The 27,831-nt window shown below is 33.9% G+C and overlaps 1 annotated feature.

Annotated features, from left to right (window-relative positions):
* Window positions 2,462–3,297: an enhancer, noted in NCBI's record as "OCT4-NANOG hESC enhancer chrX:87498837-87499672 (GRCh37/hg19 assembly coordinates)". NCBI's record gives its function as "activates a minimal SCP1, AML or CMV promoter by ChIP-STARR-seq in naive H9 embryonic stem cells {active_cell/tissue: H9 hESC(naive)}" and the evidence as "EXISTENCE:reporter gene assay evidence [ECO:0000049][PMID:30033119]".

Consider the following 27,831-nt stretch of genomic DNA (forward strand, 5'->3'; position numbering starts at 1 on the left):
CTGGGGCACATTATCCTTAGCAAACTAACACAGGAATAGAAAACCAAATACTGCATGTTCTCACTTCTCCATGGGAGCTAAATGATGAGAACACATGGACACATAGAGGAGAACAGGACACACAGGGGCCTTTTGGAGGGTGCAGGGTTGGACGAGGGAGAGGATCAGGAAAAATAACTAAAGGGTACTAGGCTTAATACCTGGGTGATGAAATAATCTGTACAACAAACCCCCATGACACAAGCTTACCTATGTAACAAACTTGCACTTGTACCCCTGAACTTAAAATAAGTTTTAAAAATATGCAATTTATAAATTGTATATTATAAATTCATGAATCTTCTCATTTAAGCAACACAAATCTGGAAAGGATAAATGAGAAACTAACAAGATTGATCATCTACACAAGGGTAGGTAAGAAGGGGGTAGAAATAAATGAATAATTGGAACCCAGTAGTAGAGATGAGAAAGGAGAGGGAATTTTCTCATTACATATTTTTATATGTCTTTTTACTCCTCAAATTATATTAACATGTCACATGCTCTAATGCAACAATTTAAAAATTAACCAGAATGTGGGAGAAATTAAAATGGAATGCAAACAACAACAAATGAATCTGATTGCATTTAAAAATAAGTAACATGAGTACACTGAAGAGAATGGAGAAAAAAATTAACCTGATTAAATTTGGAAAGCAATGTTTTTAAGTGATTACTGCAATGTTTTGAATTGAAAAAAAAACAAAAAAACATACTGGGCACTGTGGCTCACGCCTGTAATCCCAGCACTTGGGGAGGCTGAGACAGGAGAATTGCTTGAGCTCAGGAACATGAAACCAGCCAGACAACATAGTGAGACCTCATCTCTACTCAAATGAAATAAAATAAAATAAAAAGCCAGGCATGGAGGTGGGTGCCTGTAGTCCCAGCTACTTGGACAGGTGGGAGAATTCCTTTAGCCCAGGAGGTCAAGGCCGCAGTGAGCCATGATCACACCACTGTACTCCAGCCTGAGCGACAGAGCAAGACCCTGTGTCAAAAAGAAAACAAAACTCAATGAAAACTATACATAAAATTATACAATATTGTTAGTAGATTTGTTTCTCATAGAGGTATGAGTTACCAATTTTACAAGTACTTTAGATTTATACTAAGATTGGACTAATAAGTAAATCCATTATCGATAATAAGAGCTGAGTTTCTATCTGATGAAAGAAGTTACAAATGAGAAAGAGGGAAAGTTAATATAAACCCAGTGTTGGATGTGTATTGGGTCAGAATCAGAGGTGTAAGTATAAACTAATTGCCTTTTTAACATGTATGTGGTTTGATAGATGCTGAAACAAAATGGAGATACATGTACATGTGGGTGGTTTAGCTCCATCACCTGAGAGAATGTAGAATTGATGTCAACCAAGCGGCAATGAGCCAATCTAGTGCTAAGATTGCTGGTTCTGAATAGCATCATTCAATGCAAGGAACCAAGGCTCCTTAGAGAAGTGACTGAGTCTAGGACTGGGACAGAACAAATAAAAAATGGACTTGGAATATCTGGGTGGACAAGAAATTAAATAATAGGGCTTGCTGAAAGGACACTGAGACAAAATGAAAGAAAGCCTAGTGGCCAAAGAAATCAGGGCAAGTCTGTAAAATGAAAGCAAGTTTATTAGGAAAGTAAAGGAATAAAAGAATGGGTACTCCATAGACAGAGCATCCCCGAGGGCTGCTGGTTGCCCATTTTTATGGTTATTTCTTGATTATATGCTAAACGAGGGGTGGATTATTCATTCCTCCCCCCTTTTAGACCATGTAGGGTAACTTCCTGTCATTTCTCTGGCATTTGTAAACTGTCATGGTGCTGGTGGAAGTGTAGCAGTGAGGATGACCAGAGGTCACTCTCGTGATCATCTTGGTTTTAGTGGGATTTGCCTAGCTTCTTTACTGCAATCTGTTTTATCAGCAAGGTCTTTATGACCTGTATCTTGTGCCAACCTCCTATCTCATCCTGTGACTTAGAATTCCTTAACCATCTGGGAATGAAGTCCAGTAAGTCTCAGCCTTATTTTACCCACCTCCTATTCAAGATGGTGTTGTTCTGGTTCACATGCCTCTGACAACTACACTTTTACTGATGGGTGACCATGGCATAATAATTTAAGCACTCAAAAAAAATTAGAGCTGTCAGAAGTTTGCATAAAATGGTATCTATGAAACAACAGTTGTTAGGTAATTCTAAAAAGGACAACATATATGAACATTTAAAGCAAAGAAGATAACTTTATTATGCATTTCCCTGGGTATTGGTTGAATCTTAGAAATTACAATTTATGAGTTTATAATACCACTGTGCTATTATATTAGTCACAGTAGATAGGCTAAGAAAAGATGCTTTTACAAGATGTCAGATGACATTTGGCAGTGATTTTGCAGAACCTGTTGGATTTACTGGTGTCTGGAAAGCCTGCTTGCCTTTTAGTTGTTATTTAAAGAGTGGCCTTATATTAATGTCCCATCAAAGAATATTCTCTTCAAACTCCTTTAAAAACACCCAATTTCAGAGATTACTCAGTGAAATTCTTAAAACAAACTTTCATTTTAAAAAATCCTCTTTCTGTACAGTCATTGTTCTTCTGGTAGCTCTGATCTCCAGATCTCTAGTGCCAAAATATCCTCCATTTAAAACATGTTATCTGACTTATACTGTCAGATAAATTATTAAAACCCTTGGTACTGACTTTTAACCTCGGAGCCATCCATACTTCTTTAGTCATTAAATGATTACCTCCAATCTTAACACCAAGCTGTGGCTGAATTCTCAAGTTAGACAAAAGACTGCTTGAGTTAGCCTTGATGGGCTCCCATGCTGGGAGAATCTGGCTCACTTAGTGTTCTTCCATTAAATTCACAATTGAAGTGGAAATTGACAATAAGAAAAACAATAGTGACTGAGCAGCTACCACCTGCCCTACTCCAGAGAGTCAATTAGGCATTTTGGAAGAGGAATGACTTCTTTCAGGCCACTGAAGCAATAACTTACTAGTGGTACTCCAGTGACAAGGAAGAGTTCACACAGCTTCCAAAAATGCCCAGAATTTTCCCTGGGAGTAGTTTACACACAATAAAAATCTAGCTCAATCAATGTAGGACAAATACTCCATTTATAAAATGTTAAGATACTTTGATTTTCTGGTAGATAATAAAATGGGCATATCTATTCCATATGGGTGAGTAATGGCTTCAAAGGCAACCACAATAGAAATATAATTATAATACTAATGTAGGCAGTGAGCCATAAACATGTTATAAACTGCATGCCTATATGAATTATAAACAGTATCATTAGGCTCAAGAAAGAAAGAAGCATCCTTTTCCAGAACTTACGAAAGAAGTTTTGAATATCTTTGCCATTACATTAAAACATTTAGTAAAAAAAGAAAATTAGGACACATTTTTTAAAATTAAATATTGTCCTAGGTATCACAAAGAATGATGCCTAATTTTATGCGATGATCTTCCTCTTAAGAAGCTTTTCTTTAATGCAGAATACAAAGAATACATAGTAAAATATTCAAAATGAAGATATGCACTGAACATAACATTGTACTTTCTATTCTTAATGGTCTAAAGTACACCATAGCTAAATATTCATATGAGTATTCTCCATGGATATTTTAACGGATTTAATAAGTTCTACTGAATTATCCCCTGGATAGATAAGGATTTAAACCATTGATCACTAGAAGGTTTACTTTCTCCTTGCTATAAACAGACAAGTCTCATTAATTTTAAACAGAACTAATCACAATAAAGAGAGAGGGATGTATCACTAAAAGTTCAATCCCAACATGTGTTGGTAGTCAAAACATTCCTAGTTTATTTGTAATCTCAACCGAATGTTTTCCTCTGGCCAAGCATATTCTTTTCATATATATATATGAATACATCGTTTCTTGTATTCTCACTTTTACCTTTTTGCTTCATTTGGTTAATTTTGATGATAAAATTGCTGGAAATAGTGGAAATTTAAATTGGGAACCTGGATCATTGTTTGAATTTCACAACAGAAGTACAATAACTAATATAATGCTAAGTCTGATTTAAAATTCTGATCCAGATATGTTGCAAAGTGAGTAATTTTAGTGTATGGACACTGCATTAGCTTTTTATTGCTGCACAACAAATTGCCACAAATTTACTGGCTTAAACAATACAAAAGTATTATTTCGTAGTTTTGGAGGTAAGAAGTCTAACATGAATCTCTCTGGGCTAAAATTAGATGATAGCAGGTCTTCCTTCCTTTCTGGTGGCTCTGGGGGAGAATGCATTCCTTGTACAATCAGATTTATCGTAGTATGGGCTTCCATAACAAAGTACTGTAGATAGGGTGGCTTAAAAACAATAAAAATGTATTTCTCACATTTCTGGAGGCTGGAAGACAGTGATCAACGTGCCAGCATGGTTTGGTTCCAGTAAGGACACTCTTCTGGGTTGACACACAAATTCATTCTATTCCAAGTTTCTTGGCAGAATTCAAATCCTTTCTGTTGTGGGACTGAGGTCCTCCTTTCCTTGCTGGCTGTTGGCTGAAGATGTTTCCAGCTTCTAGAGGCCATTTGTGTTCCTTAGCTCTTTATTCCCTTCCACCATATTCAAAGCAAACAATGATGGACAAGTCTTCTTACACTGTGAATCTCTCATCTTTCTGTCTTATCTCTCTGACCCTCTCTTTTGCCTTTTTAATTTTTTTTTGCTTTTAAGAGTTCATGTAATTACACTGGACCTACCCTCCCACTGGACCCACCCTCCCACTAGACCCACTGGAACTCTGAAGATGTGATTAAGGTTATTGACTTTGAGATGGGGAGATGATCTCTATAAATTTCCCTATACTGAAAGTTTTATATAAATTGAATCATATAATTTGTGGTCTTTTGTGACTGGCTTTTCTTACTCTTTCACTTAGCATAATGTTTTCAAGGTTCATTCATGATTTATACTTCATGATTTAGTACTTCATTCTTCTTTATGGTCAGATACCATTCCACTGTACACATACCATTTTGTTTATCCATTCATTGGTTAATGGACATTTGGATTGTTTTCATCCTTTGGGTTTTATAAATAATGTTGATATAAACATCCATGTGCAAGTTTTTGTGTGAATATATATTTTCATATCTCTTAGGTATATATCTAAGAGTGGAATTGCTAAGTCATGTGATAACTCTATGTTTTCTGGTTTAAGAAACTGCCAAGTTATTTTTCCAATGTGTCTGCATAATTTTACACTTCCACCAGTATACGAAAGTTCCAATTTCTCTGTTCTTGCCAAAACTTGTTATAGTTTGACTTTTTTATTCTACTCACCCTAGACGTTGTGAACTGGCACCTTATTGTGGTTTAGACTTGCGTATCTCTAATTACTAATGATGTTGAATATCTTTTTGTGTGTGTTTGCCATTTATATATCTTCTTTGGACAAATGTCTACTCAGCTTAATGACTGATTCTTAATTGGTTTGTCTTATTATTATTGAGTTATATGTTCATTATATATTCTAGATGCAAGTCCCTTATTATATATGTATAATATATGATTTTATATATATATATAATTTGCAAATATTTTCTCCCATTCTGTGTGTTGTGTATTCACTTCCTTGATAGTGTCCTTTGAAGTACAGAAGTTTTTAATTTTATTGATGGGCAATTTCTCTTTTTTTTTCTATTTGCTTGAGTTTTGATGTTGTATCTAAGAAACCATTGCCAAATTTTAGGTCACAATAGTTTGTCTCTGCTTCTAAAAGTTTTATAGTTGTATCTCTTACATGTAGGGCTTTGATCTATTTCAGCTGATTTTTGTAGATAGTAGGGAATATGTATGTAACTTTATTCTCTTGCATGTGGATATCCACTTGTTCCAGCACCATTTGTTGAAAAGAATAAAATTTGTTGAAAAGAATGAATTTCCCGATTGATTGACCTTGCCATCCTTGTCAAAAAGAAGTTCACCACAAAAAAGATTTTTTAAAAAAGAAGTTGATTATAGAAACAAGAGTTTGTTTCTGGACTCTTAATTTTGTTCCGTTGATCTGTATATATATCTTTAGGCCAATATCACACTATCTTTATTATTGTTGCTTTGAAGTAAGTTTAAAATGCAAGTTATCTCATTTTGTTCTTTTTCAAGGTTGCTTTGGCTATTCCAAGTCACTTATATTTCTGTATTAATTTTAGGGTCACTTTTTCAGTATCTATCAAGAAGCCAGTTTGGATACTGATAGGGACTCTATTGAATCTGTAGATCAATTTGGGAAGTATTGCCATCTTAACAATATTATATATTCCAATCCACGAACCAGAGATGTTTTCCCATTTATTTGCATCTTCTTTAATGAGAGATGCTCCTTGACTTACAATAGGGTTACATTCATATAAACCCATTGTATCTCAAAAATATCATGTCAGAAATGTATATAATATCCTGATAAACTCATTGTAAAGCTGAAAAATGATAAATTGAACCAACATAAGTTTGGAACTATCTGTATTTTCAACAGTTTGCAGTTTTAAGAGAATAAGTTTTGTACTTCTTTTCTGAAATACATTCCCATATACTTTACTTTTTTGGATGCTATTGTAAATTGAATTAATTTTCTAATTTCATTTTTAGACTTTTCATTGAAAATATATAGAAACGCATTTGAATTTAGAATACTGATCTTGTATTCTGCAATATTGTTGAACTCGTGTATTAGTTTAGTTTTTTTAGTGGATTTCCTGGGATTTTCTATATTTAAGATCACGTAATTTATGAATTAAGAGAGTTTTACTTTGTTCTTTCTAATCCAGATACCTATTATTTATTATGCTTGCTAATCATGCTGTCTAGAACCTGTATGTTGAACAGAGATTGTGAGAGTAATAAATCTTCTCATGTTCCATTTTCCCTCTTATGTCCTTAGTGGGAAAGCATCCAGTCTTTCATCAATAAGAACTGTGTTACCTGCAGGATTTTTCATAGCTGCCCTTTATCAGGTTAAGAAAGTATTTCTCTATTTGTAGTTATTTTAAAAAAATAAAAAAAGAGTATTGGATTTTGTCAAATGCATTTTTTATATCTAACAAGATATTTATGTGTTTTTTAAAATGTTATTCAATTTATATGCTATACTGCATTAATTGATTTTTATATGTTAAACCAACTTTGCATTCAGATATACACCACTTGGCCCTGGTGTATAATTCTTTTATAATTGCTGACTCATTTGCTAGTATTTTGTTGAGAATTTTTATATACAAATTCATTGGAGGTATTGTTCTGCAGTTTTCTTGTTATGTCTTTATCTTACTTTGGGAGCAAGGTAAAACCGAGCTCACATAATGATTGTGTTGCATTTGTACTGCTTTGATATTTTTGAAAAGTTTATAAGGAATGGTATTAATATTTCTGCAAATGTGTGGTATAATTGACCAGCATAGACACCTGGGCATGGGAATTTTTTGTGGTTAGTTTTTGAATTTATAATTAAATTTCTTGACATAGGTCTCTTCAAAATGTCCATTTCTGTTTGAGTTAGATTTCATAGTTTGTATCTTTCCAGGATTATGTTAATTTAATCTAAGTTATCTAATTATTAGTATATAATTTCTCATAGTATTCTTTTGTAAGCCTTATGATTTCTGAAAGATCAGTAGTAATGTCTGTCTGCTCTTTCATTTCTGACTTTATTAAATTGAGTATTTCTTACTTTTTTCTTGGTTAATTTAGCTAAAATTATATTCATTTTCTTGAAGCTTTCAAAGAATAAACTTTTGTTTCTATTGATTTTATTTATTACTTTTCTAGTTTCATTAATTTCTACTCTAATCATTATCATTCCTTCTGCTTACTTTAGGTTTAGTACGGACTTCTTTTTCCAGTGTCTTAAGGTATTCACTAACGGTGCTTGCAGCTGCAGTGTTTACCCCATTTTCCATGAAAAATTTTGCTTTGCTTTTATTATTATTTTTGCATTGCTCTAGTATATCAACTTTGGAAACAAAAGACATCATTCTATTTGTATCATTCTGTTTTTAAAATATATTAATTCTCGATCGCTAAAAATGTCAAATCCTAGAAAATTGTAACATTCCTATGCCTGATTTTAGCATTGTTCTTGAACAGTTGTTGGCCAAAGATTCATTTGATAGATCCAGTTTTTCTGAAATAGATGATTCTGAAGATTCAGATGATTCTGATGTTAGTTCTGTTTAGAAATAACTCCAATAATAGTTTTTATATTTTATTTTCACATTGCAAATCAGTCAGGTTTGCTTCAGCCTCAAAAAGCATTTTTGTGTAAAATTAAATGATCTCTGGCAGTGAGCTACACTTTTTTATTCTAATTAAGTCCAATATTTTTGTTGTTAATTTTCTGTCTAGGAAATCTGTTCAATCCTGAAAGTGAACTAATTAAGCTTCCAGCTATTATTGTATTGAGGTCTGTCTCTCTCTTTAGCTCTAATAATATGAGCTTTATATATCTTTGTGCTCCAGTGTTGAGAGCATATATATTTGCTATAATTATATCCTGTTGTTGACCGCTTTATCATTATATAATGACCTTCTTTGTCTCTTCTTACAGTTTTTGCCTTGAAATGTATTTTGTCTGACGTAAATTTGGCTATTCCTGCTCGTTTTATGTTTTCCGTTTCCACGGAGTGTTTTTTTTTTCCATCCATTTATTTTCAGTATATGTTTATCTTTATAGGTAAAATGTGATTCTTGTATGCAAAAGGTCACTGGGTCTTGTTTTTTAATCGATTCACACATTCTATGTTGTTTCGTTGAAGAGTTGAGTACATTTACATTCAATGTTATTATTGATGAGTAGAGACTTACTCTTGCCATTTTGCTAATATTTTTCTGGTTGTTTTGTGTTCTTCCCTTCTTTTCTTTCTTCCTTTCTGTCTTCCTTTTAGTGAAGATGACTTTCTCTGGTGATATGATTTAGTTTCTTGCTTTTTTATTTTTTGTGTCTCCATTGTATGTCTTTTGGTCTGAGGTTACCATGAGGCTTGGAAATACTATCTTATAACCCAGTATTTTAATCTGATAACAACTTAACACTGTTTGCATAAACAAACAAAAACAAGCAAAAAGAAAACTGATAGAAACTCTATGCGTTAACTTCATCCCCCTACTTTTTAACATTTTATTGTTTCCATTTATATCTTGTTGTATTGACTATGTCTTGAGAAGTTTTTGTAGTTATTATTTCCAATTGCTTCATTGTTTAGTCTTTCCATTAAGGATAAGACTAGTTTACACGTCACAGTTACAGTGTTATAACATTCTTTGTTTTTCTGTGTACTTATTATTAGCAGTGAGTGTTGTACCTTCAGAGGATTTCTTCTTGCTCATTAACATTCTTTTCTTTCAGATTAAAGAACTCCCTTTAGCATTTCTTATAGAACAGATCTGGTGTTGATTAAATCCCTCAGCAACTGATTGTCTTCATTTCTCTTTTATGCTTGAAGGATATTTTTTCCAGATACACTATTCTCAAGTAAAAACTTTTTTCCTTCTTTACTTTAAATACATCATGCCACTCTCCCTCGGCATGTAAGATTTCCACTAAAAAGTCTACTGCCAGATGGATCGGAGCTTCGTTTTATGTTATTTATTTATTTTCTCTTGCTGCTTTTAGGATCGCTTATTTATCCTTGATCTTTTGGAGTTTGATCATTAAATGACTTGAGGTAGTTTTTTAGGGGTTTAAATCTGCTTTGTGTTCTATTACTTTCTTGTACTTGGATGTTGACATCTTTCTCCAGGATTAGGAAAGTTTCTGATACTATCCTTTTGAATAAATTTTCTACCCCTATCTCTTTCTCTCCCTTCGCTTTAAGGCCAATAACTCAGATTTGCCCTTTTGAGGCTATTTCCTAGATCCTGTACGCATGCTTCACTGTTTTATTTTTTTTCTTTATTCTTTTGTCTCCTCTGACAGTGTATTACAAATAGCCTGTCTTCAAGCTCACTCATTATTTCTTCTGCTTAATGAATTCTGCTATTAAGAGACTCTGATGGATTCTTCAGCATGGCAATCAGAATTTTCCACTCTAGGATTGCCGTTTGATTTTTTTAAATTATATTTCTTTTTAAAATTTATCTGATAGAATTCTGAATTTCTTCTCTGTGTTATCTTGAATTTCTTTAATTTTCCTCAACTCAGCTATTTTTAATTCTCTGCCTGAAAAGTTACATTCTCTGTTTCTCCAGATTTGGCCCCTAGTGCCTTATTTAGTTCAGAAGGTGAGGTCATGATTTCCTAGATGGTCTTGATACTTACAAATGTTTGTCAGTGTCTGGGCATTGAAGAATTAGGTATTTGTTTTAGTCTTCAAATTTGGGCTTGTTTGTGCCCATTCTTCTCGAGAAATATTTCCCGGTATTAAAAAGGACTTGGGCCTCAAGCCCAATATTGCTGTGGTTTTTTCAGACTCATAGAGGTACTGCCTTGGTGGTCTTGGAAAAGATCCAGAAGAATTCTCTGAGTTTCCAAGCAAAGACTCTTGTTCTTTTCTCTTATTTTCTCCCAAACAAACGGAGTATCTTTCTCTCTACTGAGCTGCCTGGAACTGTGCTTGTAGTGATGGAAACTCCTCCTTTCACCATTACCACTGGGACTGCACTAAGTCAGACCTGCAGCCAGCGGAACACTGGGTCTCACCCAAGGCCCACTGTAACCACTACTTAGCTAACACCTATGTTCACTCAAGGCTCTATGATCAGCAGGTGGTGAAGCCAGCCAGGTTTGTGCTTTTCCCTTCAGGGTAGTGAGTTCCTCCAGGCCTCATCTCTGGCTAGTCCAGAGATGTTTTCTGGAAGCCAGGAATTGGAGTCAAAAACCTTAGATATTTGCCTGATGTTCTATTTTACTTTGGCTAGGCTGGCACTCAAACCACAATACAAAGTCCTTTCTCCTCTTCCCTCCTTTTCCAGAGGCAGAGGAGTCTCTTCCTGTGGCCACCCCAACCACTGGCTAACAGAAGGGTTCTGCCAGGCTACAACAAATGTTCACTTAAAGCCCTAAGGCTCTTTAGTCAGCTTATGATTTGCTCGTGATTGCTGCCAGGCCTGGAACTCATAGTTTAGAGCAAGGGGCTCTCCTCTACCCAGGGAACATCCAAAATTTCTGTCTAATGGCTCAGGCTTGAACTCAGGGACCCCAAGCACCTTCTTGTTGCTGCTCTACCTTACTGTGGCTGAGCTGGTACCTAAGGTGTAAGACAAAGACCCCTTTACATTTCCTTCTGCTCTTCTCAAATGGAAAGAGTCTTTCACCACAGCCACCATGGGCAGAAATGTGCTAGGTCATACCCGTAGTGACCATGTATGAGAGCCCAAGGCCTATGACATTCTATCTGAGTATCACTGCTAGTTATTCAGGGCCCAAGGGCTCCTTAGTCAGCAGGTGATTAATCCTGTCAGGACCAGGTTCTTCCATTCAGGGCAGTGGGTTCTCTTCTGGCCCAGGCTGTGTTTAGAAATGTTGTTTGGGAGCTGGGACCTGGAATGGGGGCTTCATGAGTCTACTTGATTTTCTATGCTACTGCGATTGAGCTGGTATCCAAGATACAAGACATAATCCTCTTTACACTTCAATGTCCTCTCCTTAAGCAGAAGAAAGGAGTCACTTTCGTTGCTGTGAATCACACTGTCTGGAGTTGGAGGAGGGGTGGCACAAGCTCTCCCTTAGCTAACCCAACTAGTGTCTCCATAGTCATGTTTCACCCTAGTCCCCAGGCTCTAAGTCCAGGCAGGCACTAGAAGTCGCCTAGGAATTACAGTCCCTCCGGCCTAGACTGTCTTTCAAGTTTACATAGTACCCCAGAGCACTTTGACCTGCAATGGCATGGCTTACTAAGGGACTCAAGTTCCAACCACTGGGATAGGCAATTCCCCTCTGGCTAAGTCTGGTCCACATGCTCCCTCTGTATGTGGGTGCTGCCCGAGCCCAACATGGCTTTGCTCTCCTCTGTGACAGGGCAGCACTGAGTTCTATGTAAAGTCCCCCATTTGTTGCGCTCTCTGTCCTCTGCATACACAGACTGACTCTCTCCACTGAGTAGCCACTACTGGAAGATGGAGACAGGTGGTGTTGGTGATTCACGATGGTCTTTCCTACCATCTTTAATGCCTCTTCTAGTGATATGAAGTGAAAACCAAGTACAGTGATTGCTCATCTGATTTTTTGTTTTTGTGATGGTGCTTTCTGCGTGAAGATACTTGTTAACATTTGGTGTTCTTGTTGGGGGATGAATAGTGTGGGCTTCTATTCACCATCTTGCTCCATCTATATTAAAAGTGGGATACTAAAGTCTTCAAATATTATTATTGTTTATTTCTTCTTTTTATTCTCTCAGCTTTTGCATCCTGTATTATGTTGCTATACCATTTGATACAGGTATATAATTATGTCAATTATGTCTTGCTAATTTATTAATTTATTACAAAATGTTGCTCTTCATGTCTAGCCACATTTTTCTTTTAAAGTTAATCCTACCTGATATTAGTGTAGCTATGCCAACTTTTTTGTGATTTCTTTTCATATTATATGCAATTTTCCATTCTTTTACTTTCAATTTGTATATTTCTTAAGCACATATAGTAGATCGCATATAGTACGGTAGTGTTTTTTTTTAATATTTATTTTTATCCAGGTTGATAATTTATGCCATTTGATTAGATTATTTGATCCCTTAACACTTACTGTTATTATTGATATAGTTGTATCTACGTCTGCCATTTTATTGTTTTACACATCTCATTTCTATTTCATTCATTTTGTCCATCTACTAATCTCATTATTTATGGTTTTCTTTTGAATTAAATGAATATTTTCTTTTTTCTTTTTTTTATTGAGACAGGGTCTCACTCTGTCACTTACAGTGGAGTGCAGTGCCATGGCAATGGCTCACCTCAGCCTCAAACTGCTGGGCTCAAGTGATCCTTCTGTCTCAGCTTCCAAGGTAGCTGGGACTAAACGAGTATGTCACCATGCCTGGCTAATTTATTATTAGTAGTAGTATTATTATTAGTAGTAGTAGAAATGGCATTTCACTATGTTTCTCAGGCTGGCCTCTCACTCTTGACCTCCAGCAATCCTCCCACCTCAGCATCCCAAAGTGCTAAGATTACAGCATGAGCCATTGCACCTGGCCAAATTACATGAATATTTTATAATGTAGCATTTCAATTTCTCTCATAATATTTTTACTATATTTTACTTATTTTCATGTTGACTGTGCTAGACCTTACCATATACATTTTAACTTATCTGAATAACCTTCAAATTTTTACAAATTTAATTTCAGTGAGCTATAGAAACATTATACCTATGTAGCTTTATTTTCTTTTTCCCTCTTTTTTGAGGTAATATTGTTATGTATAATACATTGTTAATGTTACAAACCCAACAACACATTACTTTATTTATAATTTTAAGCAATTTTATGTCTTTTAAAAATGCTCAGTGAAGAAGAGCAAGCACATATTTATAGCTTCTCTTACTTTATCTTTTATAAAAATCGTTTCTTTGTGTGTGTGTGTGTGTGTGTGTATGTGTGTGTGTGTGTTCCTGTGAATTTGAATTAACAACTGTAGTCATTTTCTTAGCAGAATATAACTTTGCTCTCACCCACTTCATTTATGCTGCTATTGGTAAATATATTGCATTTCTACTTGTTACAGGCCAAATAATACCTCATATACATAATGTGTGTAGAATGACTTTTTAAGTTTGTTAAGAGAAGAAAGGGAAAGAAATATGCATGTACACTTTTTTTTATAAATATATAATACCTAACCACCTTTGCCAGTGTTCTTTGTTTTGTGTGTGCATGAATTTGCATGATGGCCTACTGTCACTTGCTTTTAGCCTGAAGAATTTCCTATGGCATATGTTGTAACGTGAATCTACTATCAACAAATTCAATTTTTTCTTATCTAGGAATGTCTTTATTTTACCTTTATTTTTTGAAATGTAGCTTTGTTGGATATAAGATTGTTGACTGACAGGTTTTTCTTTGTGTACTCTGAATATGTTGTCTCACTGCCTTCTAGTTTCTGAAGAAAAGTCACTTAATATTATTGACATTCTCTTGTAAGTGAAGAGTCATATTTCTCTTGTTGCTTTTGAAGATTTGATTCATGTCTTTGGCTTTCTGTATTTTGACTATAATATGTATGTAGATCTCTTCGCATTTATTCTACTTGGAGTTTGTTGAGCTTCCTGGATGTGTAGATTAATGATTTTCAATAAAACTGGAAATTTTTAAATTCTTATTTCTTTAAATGTTTTTCTTATTCTTTCTCTTCTCTTTTTTGTAATCCTACTATGTGTATATTTCACACTTCTCTAATTATTTTATTCACTGTTTAATTCAGATTTCTTTTAGTTCTATGGATTACACAATCTATATTAATCTATTTTCAAGTTTATTAATTCTTCATTCTTCCAGTTCATATATTTTGCTTAGCTCCTCTAGTCAAATTTTCAAATTAGTTATTTTATACTTTTTAACTGTGAAATTTCTATTTTGTTCTTTTTGATAATTTATATCTGTTTATTAATATTCTCTATTTGAGGTGGATTGTCATATTACCTTTCTTGTTTAATGATGGTTTTCTTTAGGGCTTTGAACATATTTATAATGGCTACTTTGAAGTATTTTTCCATTATATCTGACATCTGGGCACTCTAACAGGAAGGTATTTTTTGTCTGCCTTTTTTTTTCAGTATATGGGTCACACTTTTCTGTTTCTCTACCTGTCTTATTATTTTTGTAGAAACCGGATCTTTTAGATTGTATATTCTAGCAATTCTTGACCAGTACTAAGAATTCTTCTTCTCTAGAAGAGGGATCTTCCAGAGGAGATTCTTCTCTGAATATTCTTCTTATTTCATTCTTTGATTACTCAGTTACTACCTGGATTACGTTAGTAAAGTTTATTTTCCTCCTACAATGTGAAGCTATAATGTTCTTTCTGGGAACAGACCTGGGTATGTAAACAGTCATCCTGGAATGTCAATGGTTTTGTCAGGGCTTTCATTGAATGACTCTTTTCCTATCCACATCCAGTTTTTAATCTCCACAAATTGTAAACTAATTGTTCTACTGTTTTCAATAATGTCTTGAAATACAATTTTTAACACAAGGGGATCCAACCAAATTTTGGTTCTATTAAAAAGATAGTTCCAAAAATTACTTTTTAAGATTTGTTCTGACCTGAGGAAGGATCCAAGTTCTATCATTCCCTGCTTCTCTTGTCAAACTACCTGGTCTACACTCTATCTTGTATTACAAATGAGTCATAAATCTCCTCTCAATTGCCTTTCACAACTTCTACTGTTTGAAAGTGTCTTTCTTAGGTTTAACATTTTTTTTATACTCTGTTGCAAATAAAATTAGCTGCTTTTGGAAGATATTAGGAGATTTCAACAGGATTCTTTCCCCAAGCAAAATCTCTGAGCCAGGGCTCTGAAGCTGGGGTTTGGGGGAGACAATCATGCTCTTTTCTTTTAGTAATACCTCAGGTTTGGAGTTGAACATTCAATGAAGAACGAAGAAGCAGATTCACGTCTCTAGGCTTGCCTCTCCTAGCTTGGCAATATCACTTTACAAGCCCTAAGAGTGGTGATTGGGGCCCCAGTGTTCTCAGTCTCACTGCTACCAAAATAGTGCCTACATCCCATTAATGGCAGCTGAGCAGAGAAAGGGAGGCTTATCTGTCACTCGGAACTTTACCTCAGAAAGAGGTAGCTCTTGCCAGGATGAGAAATGTTGACATCTTACCCCTATCATGAAAATAGCCCGCTGACTTGGAGCTGGCCAGGAGAGAGAGTCTTGTGTTCTTGGATACACCACCTAATGTGGAGTTTCTATGTTACTGAGCTGAGAATGGGGAGGGAAGGTGCAGGTCTTGGTTCATATACCACAGATTCTCAATATTCTTACCAGGTTTAGTAGATTTTCTTGATAAAATGTTTTTCAATTACTGCATGCCTTTAGGACAATTTTCTGAAACATTAAATTGTTATATTTTCACAGTTTTACTACTTTAGCTAGAGAGTAGGTCCATAGAGTTTCTCATACTATCTCACCTGAATTGGAAACTAGATTTTTATCTTTACTAAACAGTATTATACCTTGAATATGATTTTATTTTATTCTTTCATCAATATTTTCTGGTGATGGCTCCATATCAGTAGCAATAGATTTTCATTTTTTTACTCAGTCTTCTATTAATAGACATTTGAGTTGCCTTTTTTTATTAAAAACAATATAATATACAGTACAGTGTATATATCATTTGTTATTGTTTACCAAGGTATATTAGGAATAGATTCCTAAAGTTTGTATTAGTGGATTCAAAGGTATATATATATGCACATTTTCTAGATAAACATTTCACAATTCTACTCCATAGGCCTTACAAATTTTCATTCTCACTATCAGTGTTTGAGGTGCCTGACAGCTGTGAGAAAAATTTGCTGTCAGAATTTCTTGTTTTTGTCAAACTGATAGTTGAAAAATGGTATACCTATGTAGCTTAATTTGCATTTATTAATATCTAATTTTGAATGATGTTAAGTATTTTATAATTTGCCACTCTTTTCTGTGAGATATCTGTTCATATCTTCTCCATATTTTTCTCTAAGGTTTTTGGCCTGTGTATGCCTTTCTAGATTTAAAAGCTCTGTGGCAGTGACATTACAAGATTAACATTCTTAATGTAATATTAGCATATAACTTTGTCACAAGTTATAGTTTGTCCTTTTACTTTGCTTACTATGTTTTTATTACAACACAAAATAATTTTTAGGTAATCAAATTCATTAATATTTTCACCTTAGCTTCTGAAAATTTAAACAGCACTGAGCAATTTATCCCTTAATCCAAATTATAAATTATTATATCATTTTATTTTTTACATTTAACTTTGTGCTCCATTTGGAATTTGATGTATAGTTTGAGAAATTGATCCAATTTTATATTTTTCCTATGAAGCTGTCTAGGTATCACACCACTTATTGCAATGCCCATCATTTCCTCACTATATTGAGTTGCTGCCTTTTTTGTATGCAAAATTGTCATAAGTACTTTGTCTATTTCTGGATTTTCTAGTATGTTCCAGTAGTGTTTCCCTATATTGATGTGTTTATCCTGTATTGTTTTAGTAATAGTGCTTCATAGTATATTATGATAACTTCTGCAAAACCATTTTGAGCTTTCTATTTGTTTTAGCTGACCAGACAATAAGACCATAAGAATATATCACTGCCACTATTTTGATGGCATCTTACTTAATTTCAAGTAAAGATCTAAAAATAAACAAAACTTTTTTTATATTTCGTATAAACTGAAGTGTGTTGTTACAATACATATCAAAATATTTACTGTCTTTTTAATATTATTTTGGCTGATTACATATTCAAATCTTCCTGTGTGATAACATTTATTTGTATCCTCCTCAAAGCTCATTAATAAATTTTAAACATTGTAAGAATACACTAGAATATAAAGAGTTGAGGCTGGGCGCAGTGGCTCATGCCTGTAATCCCAGCACTTTGAGAGGCCGAGGCAGGCAGATCACAAGTTCAGGAGTTTGAGACCAGCCTGGACAATATGGTGAAACCTCATCTCCATTAAAAATATAAAAAATTAGCCAGGGTGGTGGCAGGTGTCTGTACTCCCAGCTACTTGGGAGGCTGAGGCAGGAGAATCACTTGAACCCGGGAAGTGGAGGTTGAGTTGAGCCAAGATCGTGCCACTGTATTCCAGCCTGGGTGACAGAGTGAGACTCCATTTCAAAAAAAAAAAAAAAAAAAAATATATATATATATATATATATATATATATATATATATAAAGGAGTGGTGCATTATTTAAGATATTTTTATTGTGAGTAACAAATTAAACCTCATTGATTTGAGCAAAATAAAATGGAAATTTTGTTAGCGATAAAAAATTTTATTATGGAGCACAGGAATTGGAAATAAGACATTACAAGGGATTGGAATCCTAAAGAGAATCCAGGAATTGTTTTAAATAATTAATTGAGGTGACATTCTCATAAATAACATTAGCCCTTTTAATGTGAACAGTGAAGTGGCAGTTAGTATATTCACAATTTTGTGTTACCACTACCTCTATCTACTTATAAAATGTTTTTCATGTTGCAAAGTGAAAATATCCACTGTTTTAATCCATTTGGGCTACTATAACAACATATTTCAAACTGGATAATTTACAAACAACAGAAGACTGGAAGTCCAAGATCCAGGTGCCAGCGGACTTAGTGTCTGGTGAGGGTTTGCTCTCTGCCTCAAAGATGGTTCCTTCTTGTTGCATCTTCACATGGCAGAAGGAGAGGAGAACTCCTTCAAGCCTCTTTTATAAAGGCACTAATTCCATCCATCAAGGAAAAGCCTTCATAACCTATTCAGCTCCCAAAAGAAGTATTTCTTAAGATTATTACATTGTAAATTTAGGTTTCAATATATCTTCAACACACTAAGACCACAGCACCCATTAAGCAGTCTTTCCCCAATCCCCATTCACCTAGCCTTTGACAACCAACAATATGCATTCTATCTCTGTAAATTCACTTATACTGAATAATTTATATAAATATAATTATACATGTGTGTCTTTTGTGTGTAGCCTCTTTCACTTAGCATAATGCATTGAAGGTTCATCCACATTGTAGCATACAGGATAATTCATTGCTTTTTCTGACTGAATAATATTCCATAATGTGTCTATGTCACAACTTATTTATCCATTAATCTTTTTATGTGTATATAGGATTGTTTTCTATTTTGACTGTTGTAACTAGCACTCCTATGAGCATACATGTACTTATTTGAGCACTTGTGTTCAATTATATATGCCCAGTAGTAGAATTGTGGGGTCATATTGTAATTCTATGTTTAATGATTTTTAGAACTGTCATGCACTCTTCTGTAGTAGCTACGTCATTTTAAATTTCCACCATTAATGTGCAAGGTTACAATTTTTCCATATTTTTGCCACCATGTGTTATTTTATGTTTCTTTTTTATATTTTTAACATAGCCATTCTAGTGGGTAAGAAATGATACTTCATAGAGGCTTTAATTGGCTTCTCCTTAATGACTAATAATATTGAGGAAATTTTCATGTGCTTACTGGCCATTTTGTATATCTTCTTTGGATAAATGTTCAATTCCTTTACTTATTTTTAATTGGGTTGTCTTCCTGTTATTGAATTGTAATTTTTAATATGTACTTGAAATTATACCCTTATTACATAAATGATTTGCAAACATTTTTCTCCCATAATGTAGGTAATGTTTGTACTTCCTTTTTTTTTTTTTCTTTTTTTGAGATGCAGTCTTGCTTTGTGCCAGGCTGGAGTGCAGTGGTGGGATCTCGGCTCGCTGCAACCTCCACCTCCCAGGTTCAAGCGATTCTCCTGCCTCAGTCTCCCGAGTAGCTGGGACTACAGGTGTGCACCACCACGCCCAGCTAATTTTTGTATCCTTAGTAGAGACGGGGTTTCACCTTGTTGGACAGGATGGTCTCAATCTCTTGACCTTGTGATCCGCCCATCTCAGCCTCCCAAAGTGCTGGGATTACAGGCGTGAGCCACCACACCCTGCCTGTACTTCTTTGATACGATTTTATGGAAAAAAATTTTGTTGTAGATAAATATGTCTATTTTTTCTTTGTTGAGCTTTTTTGTGTCATATCTAAACATTAATTGCCAAATCCAAGATTAAAAAGATGTATACCTATGTTATTTTCTACAAGTTTTACAGATTTAGTTTTTATGTTTAGGTTGTTGATCCATTTTGACTTAACTTTTGTATGTGGTATGAGGTAGAGGTCCATTTTATTCTTTTGAATCTGGATATCCAGTTGTCCTAGCACTATTTGTTGAAGAAACTGCTTTTTCTCCATTTAATAGGTCACACCTTGTTAAAAACAAATTGGCTGTAAATGTATGGGTTTATTTCTATTCTCTCAGTTTTATGCCATTGGCCTACATGTCTATGTTTATGCCAGTGCCACACTATTTTAACTAATCTATATCTGTAGTAAGTTTTAAAATCAGAAACTGTGACCACCAAGTTTTTTTTAAATAGTTTTGGCTACTCTGTGTCTCTAATAATGTCATATGAATTTGAAGATATAATTTTCCATTTCAGCAAAAGAGACTGAAATTTTTATAGGAATTGTATTGAATTTGTAGTTAGCTTGATATCTGTATTGATATCTTAACAATATTAATGCTTTTTTATTTATTTAAATCTTCTTAATTCCTTTCAATAACATTTTGTAGTTTACAGCATAAAAGTTTTTCATCTTGTTGGTTAAATTTAATCCTAGATATTTTCTTCTTTGAGATGCCATTGTAAACAGAATTATTCACTTTAACTGATTTTCATATTTTTCGTTGCCTATGTATAGAAACATAATTGATATTTGAGTATTGATTCTGTATCCTATAATCTTGCTGAATTTGTCTATTAGCTCTAGTAGTTTTTCAATGTTTATTTTGATGATTTTTTGTATATAGAACCAAGCTATCTTCTATTAAAGAGAATTTTATTTTTTCTTTTTTGTTTTTGAATGTCTTTTCTATCTTTATCTAGAGCTAGAATTCCCAGTAAATAAATAAAGAACAGTGGCAATCATTGACATCCTTGTCTTATTCCTGATCTGAGAAAGAAAACTTTCACCCTTTCATCAATATTTAGTTTAATGTTAATTGTGGAGTTTTCATATAATCACCATTAATATGTTGAAAAGTTTTCCTTCTACTCCTAGTTTTTTTGTGTTTTTATCATGCACACATTTCGAATTTTGCCCAATTTTTTTTCTGCATCAATTGAACTGATTATGTCGTTTTTTTTTTTGCAATTTTTCCATTAATGTGGTGCATTACATTGATTGTTTTCTTATGTTTAGCCATCCTTGCATTCCTGGGACAAACCCTACTTGATCTTGCTGTGTAATCTTAATAGGTAATTGAACTTGGCTTTCTAGTATTGTGTTGAAGATTTCTGCATCAAAATTCATAAATAATATTGGTTTGTAGTTTCCTTTTCTTGTAGTGTCTTTGTCTGACTTTGGTATCAAGTAATGTTGGCCTTACAGAATATGTGAAAAAGTTTTCTGTCCTCTTATTTTTTGAAAGTTTGAGAAAGTTTGAGAAACAGCTGTTAGCGCTTTCTTTAACTGTTTGGCAAAATTCACCAGTTAAGCCATCTGGCTCTGTCTTGTATTTGTTGTGAGGTTTTTTTTCTTATTTAATCTCTATTTTGTTATAGGTCAGCTCATATGTTTTATTTTTTCTTCAGTCTTTTTTAGCAATTTGTGTGTTTCTCAGAATTTCTCCATTTATTCTGTTATCTAATTTAAAAGTATATACTTTATCACAGAATTCTCTTATTATTTTTATTTCTGTAAAGTCAGTAGTTATGACCCCATTTTCGTTTTCAGATTTATTTATTTGCATCTTCTCTCTTTTTCCTTTGCAATTTCACTTCAAATTTTGCATTTCATTTATCTTTTCAAAGAACCAGATTTTGGTGTCATAGTATTTAGTTGTGGGCCATGGACAACTAAAAATGCCACAAAGCTTTCCTAGCATTTTTAAGTTACTTTTTTCTTAATTCAGCATTTGTTTGGCTGCTGCAACCTTTTGACTATTTTCCAGAGCCCTGATATAATTGGTTCTGACATTTTTTTCCTTGTTTTTCCATGGTTTTGTGGAGCAATAAATGTTTGAGCTGCCTTTTCCATCATTTTGCTGACATCACTCTCCAGGTGTTTTGTGCTTGTAGTTTGAGTCTACTTATCTCTGCATGTTTGCTTCATTTTTCTTTCTTTGATTTACATGGCAGAACATGATTTCCAACAGCTCCTGCCTTTCAGCTGTATGGATACTGACTGAGCTCAGTTCAAGTTACAATATTCTTGATAAAGAAAGTGTAATTTCTGCAGTTTTGGTCAAATTATCTCACCTGAACCAGCCAACTATTGTCAGGAACAAGGCCATATTATCCTCAAAGAGGCTCACATAATAACCATGCAAATTGGTTGTACAAGTGAATGCAGAAAAAGGAGTTTTCTTAAAAATAACAAGCAGATGTTTCATACCGATTGTGAGCCTTGACTTAATGTATACCTGCTGGAATATAGATCACATTATGCTCAAAGATTCTGGTTCAATATCCTGAAATATTTTTAAACCTATTGCACAAATGATTGACCTCTTTAATCATTTATCAATCCATTTATCATCATTTCTTTCCATATTTCTTGATTATTGAAATTAAGGTATAGTTTGTATAAGTTCCCTGTTTATTTCTAGCAAGATCCTTTATACTCGATTTTAGCAACTACATATTTAGTGCAGAGTTTCCCAGTTACTGGAAAGAGTTCATAGACATGTCAGTAATTATACTTGTTTGCTAGGAATCAATTGACTCTTACAAAAGATAACTAAAAGTAACATAATCCAAAGCCTTACAACAAAGATGGGTTGTAATAACAGAAGCTAGTGTGTGCTGAGAAATAGCAAGGCAAGGTAGGGAGATGTATTTTTGAGAAAATACTTTGCCATTCATGAGGCACTTTGGCTAAGTTGTAGTTACTTTTAGCAGATTTCCAAAAACCAGATTGACTAAAAAATCTCTGTGGAAATGACCGTAGGCCACATGTGGTCCTCGACAGCCATACCTTTAGGCACACATGAACACACACACACACACAAAGTCACACATATCTAGCCTCTGATGTTACACAGAAAAATAATAGCATAATTTAGCTATCACCTGGAGGGAAAATGTCCTTTGATATATTTCCTGAATATCTTTTTACAAAGAGAATATTGATAAAATATGCAAAGAATTTTGTTACTATGTTTTTACTATTATTTGTTAATAAGAAATTTCACATCTTGAAGAAACCTGAGAAATCAATGTGACTTACTTGCTTTATGGAGCATGACATTGAAGATAACTTTCTACTTGCAGCATTGTTTTGCTCACTGAGGTATAACATTGTGGAATTTCCTTTTTAATTCCTATGCTTTCTAATGATTTCACTTCCTCATGTCCCTACTTTTTAAAAATGCATTTTCTTTATTATGTCTAATTACAAAAGTATATGAAGCTTTAAAAATGGTTAAAATACTTTGGCTACTAAAGAGAATCTATGTGAGGCAATACAATGTATGTAGCACACAAAGAAATGTAATAAAAGACATCAGATGTAATGGAAATAATGAATCAATCTATAAAAAGCATGGAGATGGGGACAATAAAAATAAAAGATGCACTGCAATCCTAATTCTGCATCAGTCCAAGCATATTATACCCACATAGGAGCAATCGGGACAAAAAAGACAGATCTATGATTTTAAGTCTGGTGAAATTATGTTTTTATAATCTCAGATGTCACATGTATTTTCTTAAATAAAAGACCAGTGGGATTCTTCTTTTTGTGTATCAATATATTTTGCTACAGGGAATATAATAAATTATTAATAAAAATGTGATGAATTGGCCAGATTAGGTAGCTATCATCTTAGAAAATGTTTATGTGATGGCATAAGATTGTTGCCTATAGATTTGGGAGAAAATTTGTTGGCAAAAGTGAACAATGCTGAGTTTTTGTTCATAAGAGGAAAATGGCAAAGCAAAGACAGATATGACAAAAGACCAGCTTGTTTCCATCTCACAATTCCAACTCAGCCAACTCTCTATATAAATATAGGTGATGTTGACATGTAAGATAAACAGCTTTTAATATAGGTATTTTTAAATCAAATTCACAAAAATATAGTGAGAGAGCATCAATAAAATTTTTAAATCTAAAATAATATTTGGTAATTCTATAATTTTTTACTTGAAAATGACCAGTAATATTTTAATAGCTTTACATTTAATATATCTTTATTGGTAATAAACGATCGTGTTACCTGCTGTGAACAACATTTATGTACATTCTGAATAGTGTTTAAATAATTATTTGAGGGGGAATTATTTAAAATTGCTAAGTAGTCAGTGAGTATAAGTAATATGCAATGGAATTTTTGTGAACTGCCTGAAAAATGCAGTGGGATAATATGGTTGTATTGCACTTTATAAATTCCTTTAAAATCAAAATAAAATAATATATATAAAATATAGTATACCAAAAAGATGCAGAAACATAAGAAACTAAAAAATGTTCATATTAACTTAAAAAAACAAAACTTTTTTCCCAGTAAATTTTCACCTTAGTCTACATATGGCAAGGAATAGAGGAAACATTTCTAGCAGTGTGTTCACAGTCCCTTAATCTCCTGAGTTACTTCATGTAATGCATTCTAAAGATTGTAAAATCATACATTTATTTTAAAAAATGGACATTTGGCTAATATTTGTCAAAGATCTAATACCCAGCATCTATAAGGAACTTAAATTTATAAGAGAAAAACAAACAACCCCTTTAAAATGTGGGCAAAGTTCATGAACAGACATTTTTCAAAAGAAGACATGCATGAGGCCAACAAGCATATGAAAAAAGCTCAATAGCCCAGATCATTAGAGAAATACAAATCAAAACCATATGAGATACCATCTTACCCCAGTCAGAATTGCTATTATTAAAAAGTCAAAAAATAACAGATGCTAGAAAGGTTGCAGAGGAAAGGGAACACTTAAATACTGTTGTTGGGAATGTAAATTAGTTCAACCATTGTGGAAAGCAGTATGGCAATTCCTCAAAGAGCTAATAGCAGAACTACCATTTGACCTAGCAATCCCATTACTAGGTATATACCTATAGAAAAATATATCATTCTACCATAAAGACACATGCATGCAAATGTTTATTACAGCACTCTTCGTAACAGCAAAGACATGGAATCAACCTAAATGCCCATCAATGACAGACTGGATAAAGAAAATGTGGTACATATATACTATGGAATAATATGCAGCCATAGAAAAGAGCGAGATCATGTCTTTTGCAGGAACATGAATGGAGCTGGAGGCTATTATCCTTAGCAAACTAATGCAGGAACAGAAAACCAAATACCATATGTTCTCACTTATAAGAAGAAGCTCAATAATAACTTATGAATACAAAGAAGGAAACAGCAGACACTGGGGTCTACTTGAGGGCAGAGGGGAAGGAGAAAGAGGAGCAGAAAAGATAAATATTGAGTACTGAGCTTAACATGTGGGTGATGAAATAATCTGTAAAACAAACCCCCATGACATGAGTTTACCTATATAACAAACCTTCACATGTATCCCCAAACCTAAAAGTTAAAACAAAACAGAACAAAAGCACAAATATGTTTAGATTTGCTTTATACATCACTAAAATTTCAACTACTAATTGTTTCAGGTCACATATCTTTATATTTCTCTTTAATATTTGAATCACTTAAACTACTCATTTATTCAGTTTATGTTTATTGAGTACCTGCTATGGGCCACCACTCTGCTGAGTTCTAGGGCCACAGTAGAGCAAAAAGCCCAAAATACTTCGTCTTTGCCCTGTGGAGCCTTCCATCTAGTAGTGAAGTTAACAATAAAAAAGTAAATTGCTCAAGTAATTATTGAATTATTAATGTAAATAGGAAATATTCAGATTCAAAATTCAATCCTTGTTTTACAACAAAAGCATATTTTATGCTGTCACAGTGGTGTCAGGTAAAAATTACAGCTATAAACTGAACTAAGATCCCAAATCAGGATAAATTATACAAACTCACAGAGGTTTATTATTGAGGCAGTACTGTTTCCAAATTGGATGGTGGCCTGTATCATAACAACCCTTAATCTGACAATGAGTCTATAAACTGGATCAGAAACAAAAATATAAACAGCTTCCTAAAGGCATTGAAGAACAATTAAAGAAGCCAGGAGCTGAAGGGCCAGGATTAGGAAGAGATGCAAAATTCAGGGAAATGTACTAGACATCATTCACTTCTTCTTTCTAAAGCAATGATCCGCAAAGGACTGCAGAGACAAGGCAAAATGTGGGAGCTCAGAACTATCTGGAGTCTCATGCGGATGGTGTTTATTGCTGTCAAGTCATCTAGGATTTGAGGAATCAAGATCTTGCAGAAGGATGTCAGCAAAAATAGTGGGATAAGGATAACCAAAATTCATTGTCTTCTTAACATCAATGAGAAAACCGGTAAAAATACTCAGAATGAACTTTTTTTTCAGAACTCTGAGAATTAACCAAAATATTGCAGCAATTGAGTTAACATTTATTTAAGAATATTATTAAGAATACTGAGTCTTTTTATGTCAATTTTAATGTGCCCTACTTCCATCTGCTTACTCCAGTTCTGTGGCAGCCTCGAAACTAACCCACAATCAGATGGAAACCCGCAGTCTAGCAGCCACTGGAGACAAAACAGGGTTGGATCTTCTTGTGAGTATCATTCTAAGATAATTCCAGAACGTTATTTGACCTGATTTGTAGGTCACACAATGTAAGAAGCTATTTCCCCAAGGTGTTAGTCAAAAAGATTAGAGGCAAGTTTTTAACTCTGTAGTTGCCTGAGGCAGTGAATAACAGTTGGGATAGACAATACAGGTTAACCATGAAGCTTAAAAAGAATAAGGTGTCCATACAATTTACAAAAACATTTGACATATTTCTGAAAATCTAGCAAGCCGTGTATATCTGTAAGGCTATGAGCATGTGCAGGGTTAGGCACACGCTCAGGAAAGACCTGAGCAGGAACTAAGCTTTCGTATTTGGCAGACCTCGAGGCTCAGGACAAGCAAGATTCTACCAGGCAGAGTGTTGAAGGCATGACCAACATACACACAGCCCTTTGGCAAATACTTGGAGACATTTGTTCCAGGTGTTTAAGGAAATCTGTGTCCCATAATTAGCTTACCACTAAGCGAACCAAGAAAGACTTCATTAAGCATGTGTGACAAAAAAATAAATAAAAGCTGTACCAAAGTAATTCATAAAAGTCTCTAAATAAACAACAAACTATAAAATAAACACCAACAAAAACAAAGTTTAGGAGGTTGTAGTTCCATAGCTGCGAGATTTTATTACTTAAAATACTACTTTTAAAAAATATGAGATGAGCAAGGAAACATGAAAGTATAGCCCATACACAGGAACAAAAAAAGGCAATAGAAACTGTGCCTGAAGAAGCACAGATTTTGGATTTACTTAACAAAGACTTTTTAAACCAGTTATTTGAAGTTTGTTCAAAGAACTAACGGAAATCATATCCAAAGGACTAAAAGAAAGTATGAAAAATGTATCTTATTAAAGACAGAATTTAAATAAAGAAATGGATATTATAAAATAGAGCAAAATAACAATTCTGGGATTGAAAAGTACAGTAACAAAAATAAAAGATTTACTAAAGAAGCACAACAGCAGATGTGAGCCTGCAGAAGTAATCCATCAACACTTGAAGGAACTTTTAAAATGTATATTCATAGTGTAAATAATTATTCAACAAAGAGAAGGCATAAACTACAGATAAACACAAAAACATGAATAAATCTCAAAATGTATGCTTAGTAAAAGGAGTCATACTCCAAATAGTGTGTCCTGAATGATTCTATTTATATAAAATTTCTGAATAGGCAAAACTGACAATAGAAACCACATCATTGGTTATCTAGAACTAGGGTAAGATATTCTTTGCAAAGAGGCATGAGGAAACATTTTTGAAGGAATAGAAATGTTCTGCATTTCGCCATGTCTGTAATCCAAGCACTTTGCGGGGCTGAGGCAGCAGG

The sequence above is a fragment of the Homo sapiens genome, chromosome X (genome assembly GCF_000001405.40).
Source record: "Homo sapiens chromosome X, GRCh38.p14 Primary Assembly".
Classification (NCBI taxonomy): domain Eukaryota; kingdom Metazoa; phylum Chordata; class Mammalia; order Primates; family Hominidae; genus Homo; species Homo sapiens.